General features: G+C 42.6%; 2 pseudogenes across 2 annotated transcripts in view; one reads left to right on the forward strand and one right to left on the reverse strand.

Annotated features, from left to right (window-relative positions):
* Positions 1-19,277, reverse strand: part of PPP5D1P (PPP5 tetratricopeptide repeat domain containing 1, pseudogene) — an 82,238-nt pseudogene that overhangs the window by 23,614 nt on the left and 39,347 nt on the right. The gene's annotated exons all lie outside the window — the stretch shown is intronic.
* Positions 16,268-17,552, forward strand: GAPDHP38 (glyceraldehyde 3 phosphate dehydrogenase pseudogene 38; annotated as a pseudogene).

Genomic DNA, 19,277 nt, shown 5'->3' on the forward strand with positions numbered 1-19,277 from the left:
TACAAAAAAAAAAAAAAAAAAAAAAAAAATCAATTTTAATAGAGTGGCACATTGAGAACATACCCTAAACATTCATTCTGTTCTCCCGTGCAGCCAGGAGCTCCAGTTAATTTTCCTGTTACCAGCCTCATTTGTTAACTCTGTTCATTTGTGTCTTTCCTTGAAAGGATAATTTGAACAAAAGAGTCTAAGATTTTTTTAGAAATTGTTGCAATATCTGAAAAAAAAAAAAAAGAACCTCCCAAAGAAACCTGCATTCTGATTGGTTGTCTTCCTTGATTATTTGTTGCTATGGTGACCAGGAGGTTAAATAGCATCTCTGTATTTCCTAAAGAATAAATACTGGTTGGTTTTCTCTGGCAAATCAGAAAAGGATCATTTCTCTCCTTCCATGATCATGATGCAATAAAAGCCTAGGGCTCTTCTAGATTTATATTTTATCAAAGAAAGTGAGAGTCTTGTCTTATCCAAATTAACAGAAGCACTTAGTCCAGTGTCCAGTCGCTTGAGTGGCGGTGGCCACTCTCGGAAGGGCAATTACAAACTGTACTAATAGTAAGTCCAGCGCGCCATCTGGTGGCCAATTAGAGAATAGCATGACCGTATCTACTTAAACTAAAAGGCGACTCACCTCCCTTCTTGTCTGTTAAGGCTGCCCTAGCAAATTAATACAATAAGCTTGTTCCTGTTGGTCTTAGTCTGATTGAGAAAGAACCCTTGACTGCTTTGACCCATAGAATATGACAGATGTGACACTGTGCTGGGCATGGCGGCTCACGCCTGTAATTCCAACACCGAGAAGCAGAGGTGGGCGGATCGCTTGATCCCAAGACTGCAAGACCAACCTGGGCAACACAGAAAGACCCCAACTCTACTAAAAATAACTTTTTTGTTTTGTTGTGAGACGGAGTTTCGCTCTTGTCGCCCAGGCTGGAGTGCAATGGCGTGATCTCGGCTCACCACAGACTCCGCCTCCTGGGTTCAAGCGATTCTCCTGCCTCAGCCTCCCGAGTAGCTGGAATGACAGGGGTCCGCCACCGCACGTGGCTAATTTTGTATTTTTAGTAGAGACAGGGTATATCCATGTTGGTCAGGCTGGTCTTGAACTCCCGACTTCCACCCACCTCCGCCTCCCAAACTGTTGGGATTACAGGCGTGAGCCACCACTCCCGGCCAAAAATATAACTTTTAAAAATAGGCTGGCGTGGTGGCCCGCACCTGTAGTCCCAGCTACTCGGGAGGCTGAGGCAAGAGGATCCCTTGAGCCTAGGAGGTAGAGGCTGCGGTGAGCTATGATGGCGCCGCTGCACTCCAGCCTGGGTGACAGAACGAGACCCTGTCTAAACAAACAAACAAACAAACAAACAAGTGACACCGCCAGGCCTGGATCTACATTTTAAGGGAACCAGCAGATTCCGTCGTGATCTCTTTGGCTCCCAGGCTACTGTGTAAGAATTGCAACTCCCCAGCCGGGCGCGGTGGCTCACGCCTGTAATCCCAGCACTTTGGGAGGCCAAGGCGGCGGATCACGAGGTCAGGAGATCGTGACCATCCTGGCTAACACGGTGAAACCCCGTCTCTACTAAAAATACAAAAATTAGCCGGGCGTGGTGGCAGGCGCCTGCAGTCCCAGCTACTCGGGAGACTGAGGCAAGAGAATGGTGTGAACCCAGGAGGTGGAGCTTTCAGTGAGCCCAGATCGCGGCCACTGCACTCCAGCCTAGGCGACAGAGCGAAACTCCGTCTCAAATAAATAAATAAATAAATAATAAAAAAAGAATTGCAGCTCCCCTAAGAGCATGGAGCTGTGAGAAGGCCCAGGAGAATTGAAGCTTCCAGACATGGGAGTGAAGAAGCCATCTTGGAGGTGGGTCCTCCAGCCCTCATCACATGATGCCACGTGGAACAGAAATGAACATCCAGTCAAACCCTTTTCACATTCCTGACCCACAAAATCCTGAACAAGCTTGGGAATTAAGCTATTACTGTGCCATTTTTTGTTGTTGTTGTTTTTGTTTTTTCTTTTTGTTTTGTTTTGGGTTTTTTTTTTTTTTTTTTTTTTTGGTTTTCTGGGTTTTATTTGAGATAGAGTTCTGCTCTTGTTGCCCAGGCTGGAGTGCAATGGCACTATCTCGGCTCACTGCAACCTCCGCCTCCTGGGTTCAAGTGATTCTCCTGCCTCAGCCTCCTGAATAGCTGAGATTACAGGTGCCCACCACCACGCCCGGCTAATTTTTGTATTTTTAGTAGAGACAGTGTTTCGCCACGTTGGCCAGGCTGGTCTCAAACTCCTGACCTCAAGTGATCCGCCCACCTCGGCCTCCCAAAATGCTGGGATTACAGGCGTGAGCCACCGCCTGCGGCCATTGTGCCACTTTTATAGAGGAGGAGATTGAGGTTCAGAGGCCCAGTTGATGGTCCAAGATCACACACTGGGAAGTACTGGAACCAGGGTTATGAAATCCTGTCTGCTTGGCTGCAAAGCCTCTACTCTTCCACACTGCATTATTTAGGAAGACAGACAGGCTTTGGGCACGAGCGTGGGCCTCACTGAGGGGAGAGGGGCCTTCTGGCCTCAGTAATATCCCTGTTCCCTTCTCTGACTGTCACTTCCCCCTTAGAGACAGAGTTTCTGCAGAGTGGAGTCTCTTCTCACGCCTGGGAGAGTTTGTGCAGGAGACATGAGAGCTGAAGATCTGGCACCACCTTTGCCTTAAAGACAAAAGGTGACATTTGGGAAAAGCATGCCACTCTTCGAGTGGTACTTAAGGATCCATGGGCTGAATCTGCCTTTTTTTCCCCAACTGATTTGGCAAGGACCTTCAAATAAATCCAGTGGAGCTTCTTGGGGCAGCATGGCCCACTCTCAAGAGTTTAGCCTTTGAGTCATGTGTGGTGGCTCGTGCCTATAATCCCAGCACTTTGGGAGGCCGAGGCAGGCTCACTTGAGGTCAGGAGTTCAAGACCAACCTAGCCAACATGGTGAAACCCCATCTCTGCTAAAAATACAAAAATCAGCTGGGCATGGTGGCAGGCACCTGTAATCCCAGCTACTCAGGAGGCTGAGGGAGGAGAATCGCTTGAACCCAGGAGGCAGAGGTGGCAGTGAACTGAGATCGCACTACTGTACTCCAGCCTGGGCAACAGAGCAAGACTCTGTCTCAAAAAAAAAAAAAAAAAAAAGAGAGAGAGAGAGAGAATTTAGCCTTTGGACTCGCACAGATCTAGGTTCAAACTCCAGCTTTGCTACTGCAGCCTCAGCGCACTTATCTGTAGAATGGGATTTCAAAATGATGTCTGCTTCTCAAAGTTGCTTTGAGAATTTGCTGATATTTTGTCTTTAAAATACTTCATTGTGTGCTGCCTTACACAAAGATCAGAATCTCTGAAAGGACAGGACAGGAACTTTTTACTCACTCACTGCTTCACTCACTGCTGTATGCCCAGTGCTTTCAAAAGCACCTGGGGCTGGGCGCGGTGGCTCATGCCTATAATCCCAGCAGTTTGGGAGGCAGAAGAGAGCAGATAACCTGAGATCAGGAGTTCAAGACCAGCCTGGCCAACATGGCAAAACCCCGTCTCTACTAAAAATCCAAAAAAAAAAAAAATTAGCCAGGCATGGTGGCGCATGCCTGTAATCCCAGCTACTCAGGAGGCTAAGGCATGAGAATTGCTTGAACCCGGGAAGCGGAGGTTGCAATGATCCGAAATCAAGCCACTGCACTCCAGCCTAGGCTCCATCTCATAAAAAAAAAATAATTAAAAACAGTAAAAATAAATAAAAAGCACTCAGCGTGGGATTTTCAATAAATAGTTACTGAATGAGTAAATCAAAAGCAGTCAATGTTACATATGATGATCAGGGCATTTTCAGTTGCAAGCAACAGAAATCTAAGTCAAACTGGCTAAAGGAGAAACAAAAATTCACTGGCCATCTTATTGTAAGACAATAGTGTAGCTTAAACAATAAAAACAAATTGAATTCTCTTTCCCATAGTAGCTCCGGGGTGAATGACCTTGTGAGGCTGTGCGTGTGGCCATCATTCAGGAACCCAGATTCTTTCGGATTGTTGCTTAAAGTGTAGTCCCGAGACCAGCAGCAGCCTCTGGCAATTCATAGGAAATGCACATTCCCAGGTTCCCCCAAGACCTACTAAGTCGGAAGCTCCGGGGGCAGGACCCAGAAAACTGTGCCCTAACAAACTCTCCAGGGAATTCTGATGCCCACTTTGAGAGCCACTGACCTCATGCTCTGTCAGCATTTGCATAATTGAATGTGCCACCTCTGAGTGACTTGGTGAAAGGGAAAAAAGAGAAAGTTCAGAGCAAGACATTTCCTTGAAAGCAGGTAAAGTGGAAATTGCGCAAGTCATGTCCAACTGCAAGCCACTGGGGAGGACCCAGTCATGTGGCTGCAGCCAACCTCAAGGGAGGCTGGGAAATGTAGTCCCCAGCCAGGCAGCCATGTGCCTGAGGAGAAGAGGAGATGGGCTTTTGCTGTCCAAAGGTTTTTGTTTGTTTGTGTTAAGAGACAGGACCTCACTCAGTTCCCCAGGCTGGAGTGCAGTAGCTGCAGCCTCAATCTCCCAGGCTCAAGGGAGCCTCCTGTCTCAGCCTCTCAAGTAGCTGGGACTACAGGTGCATGCCACCATACCCAGCTAATTTTTGCATTTTTTTAGAGACTAGGTCTCAACATATTGCCCAGGCTGGTCTCAAACTCCTGGGCTCCATTCACCTGGGCCTTCCAAAGTGCTTGGATGACAGGCATGAGCCACCACTCTAAGCCCCTGTCCAAAGCTTAAGACTGCTGCAGCCATACTCCTCAGGGTCCCAAAGTCTTCCTTGTTACCTGAAAGCAGAAATAAATAGTTCTGAGGTGCCAGCAGTTTTCATGGACACCTCCCCAGGTGATATGATTAGGCTTCATGTCCCCACCCAAATCTCATCTTGAATTGTAATCGCCATAATCCCCATGAGTCAAGGGAGAGACAGATGGAGATAATTGAATCATGGGGGTGGTTTCCCCTATGCTATTCTCATGATAGTGAGTGAGATCTAATGGTTTTGTAAGGGGCTCTTTCCCCTTTACTGGGCACTTCTCCTTCCTGCCGCTTTGTGAAGAAGGTGCCTTGCTTCCCCTTTGCCTTCAGCCATGATTGTAAGTTTCCTGAGGCCTCCCTAGCCATGTGGAACTGTGAGTCAATTACACCTCTTTCCTTTATAAATTACCCAGTCTCAGGCAGTTCTTCACAGCAGTGTGAAAACGGACTAATAGGCCAGGCGCAGTGGCTCACGCCTGTAATCCCAGCAGGGGAGGCTGAGGTGGGTGGATCATGAGGTCAGAAGTTCGAGATCAGCCTGGTCAATATGGTGAAACCCTGTCTCTACTAAAAATACAAAAATTAGCTGGGCCTGGTGGCACACACCTGTAATCCCAGTTACTTGGGAGGCTGAGGCAGGAGAATCACTTGAACCCAGGAGGCGGAGGTTGCAGTGAGCTGACATCATGCCATTGCACTCCAGCCTGGGCAACAGAGAGAGACTCCATCTCAAAAAAAAAAAAAAAAAAGAAAGGAAAAGAAAAGAAAATGGTCTAATACACCAGGGCACGGCCAAAAGGGTCCTTAAAGGTTTTGCTCCCCAGCATCAGTTTAACCACCTGGAAACAAGAGGCCAGAAATTGCTGCAGGCAGGGAACAGAGGTCTTATGCTATGGACTGAATTGTGTCCCCTTATCCCCAAAATTCATATGTTGAAGCCCCAACCCCCAATACGACTGTATCTGGAGATAAGAGTCTTTAGGAGGTAATTAGGTTAAATAAAGTCACAAGGTAGGATCCTAATCTGATAGGACTATGACCTTATAAGAAGAGAAAGGGCCAGGTGCAGTGGTTCATGCCTGTAACCCCAGCACTTTGGCAGGCTGAGGCTGGAGGATCACTTGAGCCCAGGAGTTCGAGACCAGCCTGGGCAACAGAGTGAGACCCCACTTCTAAAAAAATAAAAAATATTTTTTTTAAAAAGAGAAGAGAAAGCTGTCTCCCTGACCATGTGAGGACATAGTGAGAAGGTGGCTGTCTGCAAACCAAGAAGACAGCCCTCCTCAGAACCTGAACATGCTGGCACCCTGATCTCACATTTGCAGCCTCCAGAACTGTGAGAAAACAGAATTCTGTTGTTTAAGCCACCCAGTCTGTGGTATTGTCTTACGGCACTCTGAGCTGACTTAAGACAGTCCAGAGGGGAGACATTGTTAGGAGAAGAGGCCTCTAAGAAGGTGAAGAGCGTGCCTGAGACCCTTCCCAGTGTAGCTCCGGCAGTCCTCAGCCTCAGTCTTCCCTGGGTCCTTGTGGATGACAAAGAAGCCCCCATCACAAAGAAGCACCATTGATTGGGTCTGCAAAAGACCCAGTGGGACTCACAGGAGCTCACATCAGGGTCACTGGAGTCAAGGGCCTCCATACCACAGGCTCACCACATCTGGGATCTCACCACTCGCACTAAATATGGGAATAGGAAACCTCACCCAGTGTGGGTCCCAAGGAGCAGGCTTCTAGTCTGGGAAATCATGTCTCTTTTGATGGCACTCGCAGTTCCTCCTTCCCTGGCTCTAGTCTACACTTATTACTGTGCTCTACAAAGCCCTGTGTGTCTAACTCCTGCATAGTAATCCAAGTAGCAGAAACACTTTCTTTTTATTAAAATTCATTCTCCCATTCCTCCCTTTAGTAATAAGATGATTGTGGCTGCCCAATTAGAAACAACATCTGGGCTGGTCATGGTGGCTCATGCCTGTAATCCCAGCACTTTGGGTGGCCAAGGTGGGAGGATTGCTTGAGCCCAGGAGTTCGAGACCAGCCTTGGCAGTGTAGCAAGACCCCATCTCTAAGAAAGAAAGAAAGAGAGAGAGAGACAGAGAAAGAAAAAAAGAAACAAAACACCTGCCAGCCTTCCTGATAACTAAGTAAGCTCATGCACCTAAGTTCAAGCCCTTATGAGCTCAAGTGATGTGTACAGCTTCTGGTCAGTTCCTATAAATAAAGATGCTGGCCCTTGACTGTCTTCCTTTCTCCTTCCTGGCTGGGGAACAACTACAGCAGGAACATAACTAAAGAGAGAAGCCATTTCTTAAAGATATCAAAGCCAATTCACAAGCCTGAACACCCTCATGAAGCAAAAGTGTCTGCCTGCCCCAGACCAGCCACCTACCTTTGGATAGAGGGAGAGAGAGAGAGAGAAAAAAGTTCATCTTAGTTAAGCCACAGTCTTTCATTAGCTATTTTCACTGTCTTAAACTCTCTTTTATATTTTTCTTCTTTTATTTTCTCTGTGCCTCAGTCTAGATATTTTCTAGTGGCCTGACTTCCAGCTCATTCATCCTGCCTTCTGCTGTGTCTAATCTGTTGTTAAAGCACATTGACTGAATTCCTTGTTATTATTATTTGTATAAATTTAAGGGGTGCAAGTGCAGTTTTGTTACATGGATATATTGCATAGTGGTGACATCTGGGTTTTTGGTGTAATCATTACCTGAATGGTGTACTTCGTATCCATTAAGTCATTTCTCATCCCTCGCCCCCTACCACCCTCCCACTCTTCCCAGTCTATTATTTCACACTCTATCTGTGTATACACATTATTTAGCTTCCACTTATAAGTGAGAACACGGGGTATTTGACTTTCTGTTTCTGAGTTGTTCCACTTAAGAAAATGGCCTCTAGTTCCATCCATGCTGCTGCAAAATACATGATTTCATTCCTTTTTATGGCTGAGTGGTATTCCATTGTGTGTGTGCACACATACACACCACACACACACACACACACGCATATATAATTTTCTTTATCCAGTCATCCATTGCTGGACACTTAGGTTGATTTCATATCTTTGCTATTGTGGATAGTGCTGCTGTAAACATACAAGTGCAGGTATCTTTTTTCTTTTTTTTGAGATGGAGTCTTGCTCTGTTGCCCAGGCTGGAGTGCAGTAGTGCAATCTCTGCTCACTGCAACCTCTGCCTCCTGTGTTCAAGTAATTCTTGTGTGTCAGCCTCCTGAGTAGCTGGGATTACAGGCACATGCAACCATGCCCAGCTAATCTTTTTGTATTTTTAGTAGAGACAGGATTTCTCCATGTTGGCCAGGCTGGTCTTGAACCCCTGACCTCAGGTGATCAAGTGTTGGGGCCTCCCAAAGTGTTGGGATTATAGGCATGAGGCCACCATGCCCAGCTATCTTTGCCTCTTTGATGTAATGATTTATTTTCCTTTGGGTATATACCCCATAGTGGAATTGCAGGGTCGAATGGTAGTTCTATTTTTAGTTTTTTGAGAAATCTCCATACTGTTTTCTGTTTTCTATAGAGATTGTACTAATTTACACTCCCACCAACAGTATATAAGTGTTCCACTTACTGAATTCTTAATTTCAGTTATGGTACTTTTCTACTCTAGAATTGCCCTTTCTCTGGTAAAATTACCCATCCTTTCATATAATCCCTGCATGTTTTTTTCTTTTGTCTTGAGCATATTAATTCTAGCTATGTAAGATCCTTGTCTGGTAACTCCAATATTAAGATTATCCATGGGTCTATGTATACTATCTGTTTTTTCTCTTGCTTTTCAGTCATTTGGTCTCGCCTCTAGCATGTCTAGCTATTGAATGTCAGGCATTGTACATGAAAAATTGTACATACTGCCCCAGAGAGGAAATTATCTTTATGCAGATAGAGTGGTGCTCATCACTTTAATTCAGTCAAAAACTGGGCTGAATCTAGACTGGGTTGCCATTTTGGAAAGGCACCATGCATATCTAGTTTGCACTTGCTCATGGATTTTCAACCTGGAGCCTGGGTTATAACCTGGGGGTCCATGATCCTGGCAGCTCTTGAACTCTTCTTGTCTCTTCAGCATTGCAAGTCTGCTGAAACTCTATTCTGCTTTTCAGAGGCTTTCTTCCTGGCTTCTTAGACTCTACCCCATGTAGCTTCAGAGTTCTGCAATGTCCTCAAACAGGAACCAGAAAATCATTAGGCTCTTTTTAACTTCTCCTTTCCCCAGGTCCTAGTCCTTCAAGTCTAATTTTGTCCTTCCTGCTCTTTGGGTGTCTGAGAAGGATTCTTCTGCCCAACTCTTTTGCCCAGATCTTCAGTCTCCTTCCCCATACCCAGAAGCATCAAATGCCCTGGAGACAGAAACTGCAAAATGTTGGCTCAGCTCAGCTCTCTATACTGTTCCCCCATATTTGAGATTTTGTTCTCTTGACTCCTAGTTGCCTTAGCAGCTCACCAATGCTTTGAAATAATCATTGCTGCTTTTTACATTTTTAATTGGCATTTCAAATTACTCCTAGCAGCACTATTGGTCTTTCATAAACAATTTCATCATATCCAGAATCATGGGTCATTGTATTTTGAGGTTTTTTGGTATTCATAGCTTAGCCTGTACCCTGACTAACACATAACTTGGCACCTGGTAGTGGCACTGCAGTAACAAAACCCTAAAATATGTGACATTGGCTTAACAATCAGGCAACAAGTAATTTAAAATACAGATTTTTGGCTGGTCATGGTGGCTCACACCTGTAATCCCAGCACTTTGGGAGGCTGAGGTGGGCAGATCACCTGAGGTCAGGAGTTCAAGACCAGCCTGGGCAACATGGTGAAACTCCATCTCTACAAAAATACAAAAATTAGCCAGGCATGATGACAGGTGCCTGTAATCCCAGCTACTCAGTTGACTGAGGTGGGAGAATTGCTTGAACCCGGCAGGCAGAGGTTGCAGTGAGCCCAGATCGCACCATTGCACTGCAGCCTGGGCGACAGAGTGAGACTCCATCTCAAAAAAAAAAAAAAAAAACCACCAAACAAACAAAAAAACAAACAAACGAACAAACAAACAGATTTTGCAAACCTTGTGGCCAATGACCCCTATGGGGCTGTGTAAAATCATTTGGTAGAAAAATCATCTGCAATAACATGGAAGAGAGTCCACATACTTATGAAATCTATGGTTTAGGGAGCTGTTAAAAAATAGGATTTTTTATTGTAGTAAAATATATATAACATAAAAGTTGCTATTTTAACCACTTTTAAGTGTGCAATTAAGTGGTATTAATTGCATTCACAATGTTGTGAAACCATCACCACTATCTATTTCTAGAACTTTTAATCACCCCAAACAGAACTCTGTAATCGTTACTTAGGGAATAATTTGTTGTTATAATTTTTAAATTGAGATATCATTCATCTACTACAAAATTCACCTCTTTTAAAGTATACAATTTAGTGTATTTTATATATTCACAAAGTTGTGCAACCATCACCACAATCTAATGCTTGACCTTTTTCATTGCCCTAAAAAGAAACCCCATACCCGTTAGTAATCACTCTCCATTCTCTTCTACCCCCAGGCCTTGGCAACCTCTAACCTACTTTCTGTCTATGTAGATTTGCCTATTCTGGATATTTTATAAAGATAGAATCATACATTATGTGGCCTTTTGTGTCTGGCTTCTTTCACTGAGCATAATGTTTTATGGGTTCATCCATGTTGTATCATGCATTCAAATTTCATTCTTTTATTATGGCCGGATAACATTCCATTGTATGGATATCCTAAAATTTATTTATCTATTCATCAGTTGGGAGACATTTAGGTTATTTCTATTTTGGGAATCTTATAAATAATACTGCCCTAAACATTCATGTATGAGTTTTTGTGTGAACATATGTTCTTGGGTATATATCTAGGAGTGGAATTGCTGGGCCATATGGTAACTCTATGTTTAACTTTTGAAGAGCTGCCAAGTTGGTTTCCAAAGTTGCTATGCCATTTTACATTCCCCACCAGCAATGCAAGAGAATTATAATTTTTTCCACATCTTTTCCAAGACTTGTTGTTGTCTGTCATTTTTATTAAAGCCGTCATAGTGGGTATAAAGTATCTCATTGTGATTTTGATTTGCATTTTCCTAATGACTAATGATGTTGCCTTCTTTTCATGCACTTCTTGATCATTTGTATATCTTCTTCGAAGTAATGTCTATTCAAATTATTTTCCCATTTTAAATTGGGATTGTTTATATTTTGTTGTTGTTGAGTTGCAAGAGTTATATAATATATATACATATTTCTTGGATGCTAGACTCTTACTATATATATAATTTACAAATATTTTATCCTATTCAGTTTGTTGTCTTTTTACTTTCTTGATGGTACCCTTCAAAGTGTGAAAGTTTTACAATTTGATGATGTCCCATTTATCTATTTTTTTCTGTAGTAGTTTATGCCTTTCATGACATATTTAAGAAACCATTGCCTAGTTTAAGATCATCAAGACCTACTCTATGTTTTCTTCTAAGATTGTATATTTTTAGCTGTTACAATTAGGTCTTTGATTTGTTTTGAGTTAATTTTTGTATATGGTGTGAGGTAGGGTTCCAGCTTTATTCTTTTGCTTGTTGATATCCAATTATCCCAGCACCATTAGTTAAAAAGACTACTCCTTCCCCCATTAAATGATCTTGGCACTCTTGTTGAAAATCAATTGACCATGAATGTGAGAGTTCATTTCTGGAATCTCAATTCTATTCCATTGATCTATATGTCTGTGGGTGAATGGTTTTTAAAAGGCAGGATATTGATGTATTCTGGCTACTTCCTGCTGCTTTTAAAAAATCGTAAGTCAGAAATGCTCCCAGGCAAGAATTGACCAGTTCACAAACAAAAATGGACAGAAGTAAAATTCAGCAAAGGAAAGAGGCATTTTCTTTCTTTAGCCTAACATCTAAATGTATTGTGAGTCTAGAGGCTTGGAGTCTTACAGATTGACAAGGTTACTAAACAACAAGAGAGAGCCTCCAAGCCTTTTTGAGAATTGACATTAAGATTTTGTGGCCGGAAAAGGAGAATCAGACCAGAAGCAAAAATCTGATTTCATATATTATTGTTCCATTCAAGATTGTTGTTTCCAATGGTCTCAAATAGCTGCTATAAATATGGAGTGATCACAGGAACTATCAATGGCTTACAGACACCTTATGGAAGCTCACTGCACCATCTGTAAAGTTGTCTTGCCAAAGAGTGAGATTTAAATTTGATTGAGCTTCTAGTTCTAAATACTAGTTTACAGGATAAACAGGGAACAGAGGAATACATTAAGAAACCCCACATGGATGCAGTCAGCAGAATTCAGAATGTGGAAAAGCTATAGGAGAAAATGACCTGGTTTCTCCAAAAAATAACTGCAAGAAATTAAATAATGATCCATGCTACAATATGGATGAACCTTTAAAACATTATGCTAAGTGAAAGAAGCCAGACACAGAAGCCCACATATTGTATGATTTCATTTATATGAAATAACCATAATAGGCAAATCTGTAGAAAAAGAAGAAACTGAGTGGTTGCTGGGGCTGCCAACTGGCATGGGCTTTCTTTTTTGGGATGATGAAATGTTCTAGAATTAGATAATGGCAATAGTTGGACAACTCTGTGAATATACTAAAAGCCATCAAATTGTAACCTTTAAATGGATGGATTATATGATACATGGATTTTCTCTAAATAAAGCTATTTAAAAATCACAAAGAAAAAAAGAAGGGGAGGTGTATTAGTTGAATGAAATATATGGGCTTTGTTTTGATCCTGATTGAAAATGTTTTAAAATTATGAGACAATTGGACAAATTTGAACACTGACTAAATACTTGGCGATATTAAGAAAGTACAGGCCAGGTGCAGTGGCTCATGCCTGTAATCCCAACACTTTGGGAGGCCAAGGTGGGAAGATTGCTTGAACCCAAGAATTCGTGACCAGCCTAAGCAACATAGCAAGACCCCATGTCCACAAAAAAAAAAAAAAAGAAGAAGAATAAATTAGCCAGGCATGGCAGCATACGCCTGTAATTCCAGCTACTTGGGAGGCTGAAGTGGGAGAATCACTTGAATCGAGGAGGTGGAGGCTGCAGCGAGCCGTGATCATGCCACAGCACCCCAGCCTGGGGAATGGAGCAAGACCCTGTCTCAAAAAAAATTAAGAGAAAATATTTTTAGTATTGGGGGGGTATTGTAATGATATTGTAATTATGTTTTTAGTAGTAGTTATCTCTTGGAGATACATACTGAAGTGTTTACAGGTTAAATACTATGTCTGAAATTTGTTTTAAAATAATCCAATCATAAGGGAAAGCAGGAGTATATAGATGAAATGAGACTGACATATATTGACAATCATTGAACATAAGAAGGTTCATTATACATTCTCCCTGCTTTTGGACAGTTTGAAATTTCCCATAACAAAAAGAAAAAATAAAAATCTAAATGCTTAAGAATTATATCTGGAAGAGATCTTTAGGGGTGGGACTCATAAATGGAATTGATTGGAAGCAAATAGACCAAAAACTTACCAAGCATTTGAGGAAATTTTCTTACTAAGGAAACCATAAGCCTGATCTATAAAAGACTAATTGCTCAATGTCTCAGAGAGGTGAGTTGACTTCTGAAGAGTCCCTGAAGACATACAGAGAGGAAATGGTGCAGAAGCAATATCGAAAGACATAACATCTGCAAATGTTTCAGAACTGATGAAAGACACCAATCCACAAATTCAAGAAGTCTTTCAAACTCAAAATAAAATAAACACAAAGGAAATCAAACACAGACACATTATAGTAAAACTCCTAAAAGACAAAGGCAAAGAGAAAAGTCTTAAAAGCAGTCATATAAAAAAAAGGGTAGATTACCTTCAAAAGAGGAACATTATTAAAGCTGACAGCTGACTTCTCAATCAGAAGACAACGAATCATATTTTTAAAGTGCTGAGAAAAAGTAAATGCCAACATAGAACATATACTCAGTGAAAATAGGATTATGACATACTGTAGTGCCAGCTTAAACATACTATATAAGATTCTTTTTAACTTTATGGACTCAAACTAATACTGAGCTATTTAATGAATAATCTTTGAACACCTGGATAATGTATAAGTATGGGTTAATATATAAGATTTTAAAAAGAAAATGAGAAAGAAAAACAGACTGTATCATGCCATCTGGATGATGGGCAAAAACAGTAAAACTAGAATTTGATGTTTTTTCTGTCTTTAAAATGACAAAGGGATCTTAAAGTATTCAGTCTGCTCTCAGCAAGGCATAGTAAAAAAGTTATTCTTTACTTTCTGTGAAATTTGTCCGGGTAGCAGAGGTTCTTGCCTTACTAAATATTCTTGTTTGAGAAGATTTAACTTTTTTTTCCTTTTTGCTGACCTTAGTCATATTGTTGAATTGTTTATTTTTTAAAACGTGCAGTAAAAGATTGTCACTTACAAAAAGCTAAATTCCCTTATAGTTACCTTCTACTTTATTTATTTATTTATTTATTTATTTATTTATTTATTTATTTATTTTTGAGACAGAGTTTCACTCTGTCACCCAGGCTGGAGTCCAGTGGCATGATCTTGGCTCACTGCAACCTCCGCCTCTCAGGTTCAAGTGACTCTTCTGCCTCAGTGTCCCTAGTAGCTGGGACTACAGGCACGCACCACCACGCCTGGCTAATTTTTTGTATTTTTAGTAGAGACAGGGTTTTGCCTTGTTGGCCAGGCTGGTCTCAAACTCCTGACCTCACGTGATCCACCCACTTCAGCTTACCAAAGTGCTGGGATTACAGGCATGAGCCACCGTTCCTGGCCTATATTTACTATTTTTTTTTTTTTTTTTTTGAGACAAGGTCTCACTCTGTCACCCAAGCTGCAGTGCAGAGGTGCAATCACGGCTCTCTGCAGCCTTGAACTCCCAGAGCCAAGTGATAATCCCACCTCAGCTGGGATCACAGGCATGCACCACCAATGCCCAGGTAATTAAAAAAAAAAAAAAACTGTAGAGACAGAGTCTCCCTATGTTGCCCAGGCTGAACTCAAATGATCCTCCTGCCTCAGCCTCCCAAAGAGTTGGGATTACGGGCATGAGCCACTGTGCCTGGCCTATTTTTGAATATCTTGATTGTCATTATGGTTAATAGGGTAGCCAAGCTATAATTACTCCTTTCTCTTAGGCAATTATGCACCTATTTTAGTCAAGTGATCAGTATTTTGGACAATTCTTTTTGATGTTTCCTTTCATAAAATCAGACTATAAATTCAGAAAAGTTAAAAATCATCAAGATGTTTGTACATTCAAAATAATCTTTGGCCCTTCCTGGATGGCCAAAGCACCAAAGATCTGTTCCCTCACCTTGTAACCCACCATAGGAAATACACACACAGGGCAGGATGCTAGAACTCTTAAGTATATTTGATATGCTTTTTTTTTTTTTCAAGACAGAGTCTCACTCTGTTGCCCAAGCTGGAGTACTGTGGTGTGATCTTGGCTCACTGCAATCTCTGCCTCCCGGGTTCAAGCGATTCTCCTGCCTCAGCTGGAGAATGTTGCCCAGGCTGGTCTCGAACTCCTGGGCTCAAGCAATCCACCTGCCTCGGCCTCTCAAAGTGCTGGGATTACAGGCGTGAGGCACCACGCCCAGCCTATATTTGATGTGCTTCTGTTTTTAAAATGATTCTACAATAGTGTAAAAACCTCCCTGATTTTTGAACACACAATGTGAAAAATGCTTTCAAACTAAAAAGATGAGTTCAGCCTTCCTTAGATTAATTTTGTGCATTAAATGTCACTATTATAAATATATCTCAGAGACTGTCCACTTTTACAGGATGGTGATGTGTCAATATCTTCAGTGTCCATAATCTGTTCTTGCCCCCAGGAGAAACATTGATCTAATTCTCTTGGAATAATTATATAGTATGCCCTAATAGAGCATTCTGTTTTCTTCTTATTAGATAGTATTAGTCACTGTAGTAAATTCCCCATCATTATTTAGTCCTACAATCAATAAGTGACTTCTGCTTTCCTTTCATGCTTTCCTGAAGGTTAGCTGGAAACTACAGGCCAGAAATTGGGTCTTGGACAAAGGAAAGTCAAAGTGCCTCGATGAATAGACAATACCTGATACCCTGAGCTACTGACACTTCAAGAAATAGGCTCACTGGGTTCAGGTTTTCCCATGTGTATGAGTCTGTTTTCATGCTGCTGATAAAGACATACCTGAGACATGGTGATTTATAAAGAAAAAGAGGTTTAGTGGACTTACAGTTCCACGTGGGGCTGGGGAGGCCTTCCAATTATGGTGGAAGGCGAAAGGCACATCTTACATGGCAGCAGGCAAGAGAGAGAACTTGTGCAAGGAAACTCCCCCTTATAAAACTATCAGATTGGCTCTCTGCTCCTCCCGTTCAACAGACAGCCGCATCTTCTTGTGCTTTGCCAGCCACGTACGTCCCTGAGACACCACAGTGAAGTTGAAGTCCGGAGTCAATGGATTTGTTGGAACCGGGAGCCTAGTCACCAGGGCTGTTTTTAACTCTAGTAAAGTAGATATTGTTGCCATCAATGACCCCTTCATTGACCTCAACTACATGGTCTACATGTTCCAGTATGATTCCACCCATGGCAAATTCCATGGCACCATCAAGGCTGAGAACGGGAAGCTTGTCATCAATGGAAATCCCATCACCATTTTCGAGGTGCGAGACCCCTCCAAAATCAAATGGGGCAATGCTGGTGCTGAGTCCATCATGGAGTCGACCGGCATCTTCACCACCAGGAAGAAGGCTGGGGCTCGCTTGCAGGGAGGAGCCAAAAGGGTTATCATCTCTGCCCCCTCTTCTGACGCTCCCATGTTCGTGATGGGCATGAACCACGAGAAGTATGACAACAGCTTCAAGATCATCAGCAATGCCTCCTGCACCACCAACTGCTTAGTGCCCCAGCCAAGGTCACCCATGACAACTTTGGTATCGTGGAAGGACTCATGACCACAGTCCACGCCATTACTGCCACCCAGAAGACTGTGGATGGCCCCTCCGGGAAACTGTAGCATCATGGCCGTCGGACTCTCCAGAATATCATCCGTGCCTCTACTGGCACTGCCAAGGCTGTAGGCAAGGTCATCCTTGAGCTGAATGGGAAGCTCATAGGCATGGCCTTCCATATCCCCACTGCCAACGTGTTGGTCATGGACCTGACCTGCCATCTGGGAAAACCCTGCCAAATATGATGATGTCAAGAAAATGATGAAGCAGGCATTGGAGGACCCCCTCAAGGGCATCCTGGGCCACAGTGAGCACCAGGTCGTCTCCTCTGACTTCGACAGCGACACCCACTCTTCCACCTTCAATGCTGGGGCTGGCATTGCCCTCAACAACCACTTTGTGAAGCTCATTTCCTGGTATGACGATGAATTTGGCTACAGCAACAGTATGGTGGACCTCATGGCCCACATGGCCTCCAAGGAGTAAGACCCCCAGACCACCAGCTCCAGAGAGAGCATGAGAGGAACAGAGAGGTCCTCACTGCTGGGGAGTCCCTGCCACACTCAGTCCCCCACCACACTGCGAATCTCCCCTCCTCACAGTTTCCATGCCGATCCCCCGAAGAGGGAGGGGCCTAGGGAGCCCCACCTTGTCATGTACCATCAATAAAGTCCTCTATGCTCAGCCAAAAAAAAGAACAAAAAAACCATCAGATCTCGTGAGACTTATTCACTATCACGAGAACAGCACAAGAAAGACCTGCCCCCATGATTCAATTACCTCTCACCATGTCCCTCCCACAACACGTGGGAATTGTGGGAGCTACAATCCAAGATGAGATTTCGGTGGGGACACAGCCAAACCATATCACCGTGTAAACCAGCATTGTCCTCCCAAGTAAACACCTGTGATATTCTGTACCAGAAGCAGAACCAGAATTTCCAGAGTTCTTTCTATTCCATAAGTAGATTATTTCATGACGACTAACCCTGTATCTGATAAAAATAAATAAATAAATAGGCCGGGCGCGGTGGCTCACGTCTGTAATCCCAGCACTTTGGAAGGCCGAGTCGAGCGGATCACGAGGTCAGAAGATCAAGACCATCCTGGCTAACACGGTGAAACCCTGTCTGTACTAGAAATACAAAAAATTAGCCGGGTGTGGTGGTGGGCCCCTGTAGTCCCAGCTACTAGGGAGGCTGAGGCAGGAGAATGGCATGAACCCGGGAGGCGGAGCTTGCAGTGAGCCGAGATTGTGCCACTGCACTCCAGCCTGGGTGACAGAGCGAGACTCCGTCCCAAAATAAATAAATAAATAAATAAATAAATAAATAAATAAATAAATATTTTTTAAAAAAACAGACTCCTATTTACATAGAACAAAATGAAACTGATGAAGGAAATCTGCTTGTGGTTATTTTTAATATTATTGAGAATTGCTTTACAAATGTTCTTTCTTTTTATGCGCATAGGAAGAAGCTCTTTTCCTTTCTTCGTGACCCACTGCCAACTCTCAATTTAACATTTATACTTGAGGAAATTGGAATGAAAGCCTCTCAGTAGTATTTTTCCATCTGACTCTTCCAAATTCTGGAAAATATATCCTGTGTCAAATCTCAATATAAATTATAAACTGTCCGGGTGCAGTGGCTCACACCTGTAATCCTAACACTTTGGAAGGCAGGGGTAGGATGATGTCTTGAGCCCAGGAGTTTAAGACCAGCCTGGGTAATACAGCGAGACCCCATCTCTACAAAAAATAATTTTTAAAAAATATTAGCCAGGCGAGGTGGCACACACCTGTAGTCCCAGCTCAGGAGGCTGAGGTGGGAAGAGTGCCTGAGCCCAGGAAATAGAAGTTACAGTGAGCCATGATTGCACCACTGAACTCCAGCCTGGGTAACAGACCAAGACTGTCTCAAAAAAAAAAAAAAATTGTAAGCTAACAAATCATCAGAGACTGAAATATTATAATAATTCTAATCAGAATGCAGATGAATGCATTTATGATGGGTAAGGCTTAGAAAAATTATAACTGCTCCTTAGCAAAGAACATTGGTTGTGCTTGAATTTTATGGTTATAATGTATCAATAAATAACTGAACCATATTTATATATATTATATCTGGAAAGATCCATAATGATTCTGATAAAAATATGAAAAACATCAACTGACTAAGTAGTCGGTGCAACTACTTAGAATAATGGGTAGATATTATTACAAATAACTTCATCCTTTCTGACAATGCAGAATAACTTCATCCATCCTGACAATGTAGCATTTTCATGAGTTTAATATGCATTGGCTCCCATTGTTGCAAGGATATAGACAAATCAAATGTACTACCAAGGCTATACTGACAATATCGTATGTGAGAATAAAGCCAGTTAATCTAGTCAGAAAAGCCCACCA

The sequence above is a fragment of the Homo sapiens genome, chromosome 19 (assembly GCF_000001405.40).
Source record: "Homo sapiens chromosome 19, GRCh38.p14 Primary Assembly".
NCBI classification, from domain to species: Eukaryota; Metazoa; Chordata; class Mammalia; order Primates; family Hominidae; genus Homo; species Homo sapiens.